We start from the raw sequence: 5984 nt of genomic DNA on the forward strand, positions 1-5984 counted from the left end.
ACTCTTTTTGTGGAGTTTCCATGTGGAGATTTCAATCGCTTTGAGACCAAAGGTAGAAAAGGAAACATCTTCGTATAAAAACTAGACAGAATCATTCACAGAAACTACTTTGTGATGTGTGTGTTCAACTCAAGGAGTTTAACCTTTCTTTTGATGGAGCAGTTTGGAAATACTCTGTCTGTAAAGTCTGCAAGCAGATATTTGGACCTCTTTGAGGCCTTCGTTGGAAACGGGATTTCTTCATATAATGTTTGATAGGAGAAGTCTCAGTAACTTCTTTGTGCTGTGTGTATTCAACTCATAGAGTTGAACTTTCCTTTAGAAGAGCAGATGTTAAACACCCTTTTTGTGGAATTTGCAGCTGGAGATTTCAAGCGCTTTGAGGCCTACGGTAGAAAAGGAAACATCTTCTTATAAAATCTAGACAGAATCATTCACAGAAACTTCTTTTTGATGTGTGTGTTCAGCTCACAGAGTTTAACCTTTCTTTTGATGGAGCAGTTGGGAAACACACTGTTTGTAATGTCCGCAAGTGGATATTTGGACCTCTTTGAGGCCTTCGTTGGAAACGGGATTTCTTCAAGTAATGTTCGACAGAAGAATTCTCAGTAACTTATTTGTGGTGTGTGTATTCAACACACAGAGCTGAACCTTCCTTTAGACAGAGCAGATTTGAAACAGCCTATTTGTGCAGTTTCCAGTTGGAGATTTCAATCGCTTTGAGACCAAATGTAGAAAAGGAAACATCTTCGTATAAAAACTAGACAGAATCATTCTCAGAAACTACTTTGTGATGTGTGCGTTCAACTCAAGGAGTTTAAGCTTTCTTTTCATAGAGTAGTTTGGAAACACTCTGTCTGTAAAGTCTGCAAGCAGATATTTGACCTCTTTGAGGCCTTCGTTGGAAACGGGATTTCTTCATAGAACGCTAGAAAGAAGAATACTGAGTAAGTTCTTTGTGTTGCCTCTATTCAACTCACAGAGGTGAACTGTCCTTTAGACAGAGCAGATGTGAAACCCTCTTTTTGTGATATTTGCAGGTGGAGATTTCAAGCGCTTTGAGGCCTACGGTAGAAAAGGAAACATCTTCTTATAAAATCTAGACAGAATCATTCACAGAAACTTCTTTTTGATGTGTGTGTTCAGCTCACAGAGTTTAACCTTTCTTTTGATGGAGCAGTTTGGAAACACTCTGTTTGTAATGTCTGCAAGTGGATATTTGGACCTCTTTGAGGCCTTCTTTGGAAACGGGATTTCTTCAAGTAATGTTCGACAGAAGAATTCTCAGTAACTTATTTGTGGTGTGTGTATTCAACTCACAGAGTTGAACCTTCCTTTAGACAGAGCAGATTTGAAACACCCTATTTGTGCAGTTTCCAGTTGGAGATTTCAATCGCTTTGAGACCAAATGTAGAAAAGGAAACATCTTCGTATAAAAACTAGACAGAATCATTCTCAGAAACTACTTTGTGATGTGTGCGTTCAACTCAAGGAGTTTAAGCTTTCTTTTCATAGAGTAGTTTGGAAACACTCTGTCTGTAAAGTCTGCAAGCAGATATTTGACCTCTTTGAGGCCTTCGTTGGAAACGGGATTTCTTCATAGAACGCTAGAAAGAAGAATACTGAGTAAGTTCTTTGTGTTGCCTCTATTCAACTCACAGAGGTGAACTGTCCTTTAGAGAGAGCAGATGTGAAACCCTCTTTTTGTGATATTTGCAGGTGGAGATTTCAAGCGCTTTTAGGCCAAATATAGAAAAGGAAATATCTTCGTATAAAAACTAGACAGAATCATTCTCAGAAACTACTTTGTGATGTGTGCGTTCAATTCACAGAGTATAACCTTTCTTTTGATGGAGGAGTTTGGAGACACTGTCTTTGTAAAGTCTGCAAGTGGATATTTGGACCTCTTTGAGGCCTTCGTTGGAAACGGGATTTCCTCATATAATGTTACCCAGAAGAATTCTCAGTAACTTATTTGTGGTGTGTGTATTCAACTCACAGAGATGAACCTTCCTTCAGAAAGAGCAGATTTGAAACACTCTTTTTGTGGAGTTTCCATGTGGAGATTTCAATCGCTTTGAGACCAAAGGTAGAAAAGGAAACATCTTCGTATAAAAACTAGACAGAATCATTCACAGAAACTACTTTGTGATGTGTGTGTTCAACTCAAGGAGGTTAACCTTTCTTTTGATGGAGCAGTTTTGAAACACTCTGTCTGTAAAGTCTGCAAGCAGATATTTGGACCTCTTTGAGGCCTTCGTTGGAAACGGGATTTCTTCATATAATGTTTGATAGGAGAAGTCTCAGTAACTTCTTTGTGCTGTGTGTATTCAACTCATAGAGTTGAACTTTCCTTTAGAAGAGCAGATGTTAAACACCCTTTTTGTGGAATTTGCAGCTGGAGATTTCAAGCGCTTTGAGGCCTACGGTAGAAAAGGAAACATCTTCTTATAAAATCTAGACAGAATCATTCACAGAAACTTCTTTTCGATGTGTGTGTTCAGCTCACAGAGTTTAACCTTTCTTTTGATGGAGCAGTTTGGAAACACTCTGTTTGTAATGTCTGCAAGTGGATATTTGGACCTCTTTGAGGCCTTCGTTGGAAACGGGATTTCATCAAGTAATGGTCGACAGAAGAATTCTCAGTAACTTATTTGTGGTGTGTGTATTCAACTCACAGAGTTGAACCTTCCTTTAGACAGAGCAGATTTGAAACACCCTATTTGTGCAGTTTCCAGTTGGAGATTTCAATCGCTTTGAGACCAAATGTAGAAAAGGAAACATCTTCGTATAAAAACTAGACAGAATCATTCTCCGAAACTACTTTGTGATGTGTGCGTTCAACTCAAGGAGTTTAAGCTTTCTTTTCATAGAGTAGTTTGGAAACACTCTGTCTGTAAAGTCTGCAAGCAGATATTTGGACCTCTTTGGGGCCTTCGTTGGAAACGGGATTTCTTCATAGAACGCTAGAAAGAAGAATACTAAGTTCTTTGTGTTGCCTCTATTCTACTCACAGAGGAGAACTGTCCTTTAGACAGAGCAGATGTGAAACCCTCTTTTTGGGATATTTGCAGGTGGAGATTTCAAGTGCTTTTAGGCCAAATGTAGAAAAGGAAATATCTTCGTATAAAAACTAGACAGAATCATTCTCAGAAACTACTTTGTGATGTGTGCGTTCAATTCACAGAGTATAACCTTTCTTTTGATGGAGGAGTTTGGAGACACTGTCTTTGTAAAGTCTGCAAGTGGATATTTGGACCTCTTTGAGGCCTTCGTTGGAAACGGGATTTCCTCATATAATGTTACACAGAAGAATTCTCAGTAACTTATTTGTGGTGTGTGTATTCAACTCACAGAGTTGAACCTTCCTTCAGAAAGAGCAGATTTGAAACACTCTTTTTGTGGAGTTTCCATGTGGAGATTTCAATCGCTTTGAGACCAAAGGTAGAAAAGGAAACATCTTCGTATAAAAACTAGACAGAATCATTCACAGAAACTACTTTGTGATGTGTGTGTTCAACTCAAGGAGTTTAACCTTTCTTTTGATGGAGCAGTTTGGAAATACTCTGTCTGTAAAGTCTGCAAGCAGATATTTGGACCTCTTTGAGGCCTTCGTTGGAAACGGGATTTCTTCATATAATGTTTGATAGGAGAAGTCTCAGTAACTTCTTTGTGCTGTGTGTATTCAACTCATAGAGTTGAACTTTCCTTTAGAAGAGCAGATGTTAAACACCCTTTTTGTGGAATTTGCAGCTGGAGATTTCAAGCGCTTTGAGGCCTACGGTAGAAAAGGAAACATCTTCTTATAAAATCTAGACAGAATCATTCACAGAAACTTCTTTTTGATGTGTGTGTTCAGCTCACAGAGTTTAACCTTTCTTTTGATGGAGCAGTTGGGAAACACACTGTTTGTAATGTCTGCAAGTGGATATTTGGACCTCTTTGAGGCCTTCGTTGGAAACGGGATTTCTTCCTGTAATGTTCGACAGAAGAATTCCCAGTAACTTATTTGTGGTGTGTGTATTCAACTCACAGAGTTGAACCTTCCTTTAGACAGAGCAGATTTGAAACACCCTATTTGTGCAGTTTCCAGTTGGAGATTTCAATCGCTTTGAGACCAAATGTAGAAAAGGAAACATCTTCGTATAAAAACTGGACAGAATCATTCTCAGAAACTACTTTGTGATGTGTGCGTTCAACTCAAGGAGTTTAAGCTTTCTTTTCATAGAGTAGTTTGGAAACACTCTGTCTGTAAAGTGTGCAAGCAGATATTTGGACCTCTTTGGGGCCTTCGTTGGAAACGGGATTTCTTCATAGAACGCTAGAAAGAAGAATACTGAGTAAGTTCTTTGTGTTGCCTCTATTCAACTCACAGAGGTGAACTGTCCTTTAGACAGAGCAGATGTGAAACCCTCTTTTTGTGATATTTGCAGGTGGAGATTTCAAGCGCTTTTGGGCCAAATGTAGAAAAGGAAATATCTTCGTATAAAAACTAGACAGAATCATTCTCAGAAACTACTTTGTGATGTGTGCGTTCAATTCACAGAGTATAACCTTTCTTTTGATGGAGGAGTTTGGAGACACTGTCTTTGTAAAGTCTGCAAGTGGATATTTGGACCTCTTTGAGGCCTTCGTTGGAAACGGGATTTCCTCATATAATGTTACACAGAAGAATTCTCAGTAACTTATTTGTGGTGTGTGTATTCAACTCACAGAGTTGAACCTTCCTTCAGAAAGAGCAGATTTGAAACACTCTTTTTGTGGAGTTTCCATGTGGAGATTTCAATCGCATTGAGACCAAAGGTAGAAAAGGAAACATCTTCGTATAAAAACTAGACAGAATCATTCACAGAAACTACTTTGTGATGTGTGTGTTCAACTCAAGGAGTTTAACCTTTCTTTTGATGGAGCAGTTTGGAAAAACTCTGTCTGTAAAGTCTGCAAGCAGATATTTGGACCTCTTTGAGGCCTTCGTTGGAAACGGGATTTCTTCATATAATGTTTGATAGGAGAAGTCTCAGTAACTTCTTTGTGCTGTGTGTATTCAACTCATAGAGTTGAACTTTCCTTTAGAAGAGCAGATGTTAAACACCCTTTTTGTGGAATTTGCAGCTGGAGATTTCAAGCGCTTTGAGGCCTACGGTAGAAAAGGAAACATCTTCTTATAAAATCTAGACAGAATCATTCACAGAAACTTCTTTTTGATGTGTGTGTTCAGCTCACAGAGTTTAACCTTTCTTTTGATGGAGCAGTTTGGAAACACTCTGTAATGTCTGCAAGTGGATATTTGGACCTCTTTGAGGCCTTCGTTGGAAACGGGATTTCTTCATGTAATGTTCGACAGAAGAATTCTCAGTAACTTATTTGTGGTGTGTGTATTCAACTCACAGAGTTGAACCTTCCTTTAGACAGAGCAGATTTGAAACACCCTATTTGTGCAGTTTCCAGTTGGAGATTTCAATCGCTTTGAGACCAAATGTAGAAAAGGAAACATCTTCGTATAAAAACTAGACAGAATCATTCTCAGAAACTACTTTGTGATGTGTGCGTTCAACTCAAGGAGTTTAAGCTTTCTTTTCATAGAGTAGTTTGGAAACACTCTGTCTGTAAAGTCTGCAAGCAGATATTTGGACCTCTTTGAGGCCTTCGTTGGAAACGGGATTTCTTCTTAAAACGCTAGAAAGAAGAATACTGAGTAAGTTCTTTGTGTTGCCTCTATTCAACTCACAGAGGTGAACTGTCCTTTAGACAGAGCAGATGTGAAACCCTCTTTTTGTGATATTTGCAGGTGGAGATTTCAAGCGCTTTTAGGCCAAATGTAGAAAAGGAAATATCTTCGTATAAAAACTAGACAGAATCATTCTCAGAAACTACTTTGTGATGTGTGCGTTCAATTCACAGAGTATAACCTCTCTTGCGATGGAGGAGTTTGGAGACACTGTCTTTGTAAAGTCTGCAAGTGGATATTTGGACCTCTTTGAGGC

General features: G+C 38.7%; 1 annotated feature.

Moving 5' to 3' along the window:
* Positions 1-5984: part of a centromere (Linear centromere model derived predominantly from reads generated in PMID: 17803354. This region does not represent an actual centromere sequence, as long-range ordering of repeats and unmapped WGS contigs is not provided by the model. For details of model production, see http://arxiv.org/abs/1307.0035.) that runs on past both edges of the window.

Source organism: Homo sapiens, chromosome 12 (genome assembly GCF_000001405.40).
Source record: "Homo sapiens chromosome 12, GRCh38.p14 Primary Assembly".
NCBI classification, from domain to species: domain Eukaryota; kingdom Metazoa; phylum Chordata; class Mammalia; order Primates; family Hominidae; genus Homo; species Homo sapiens.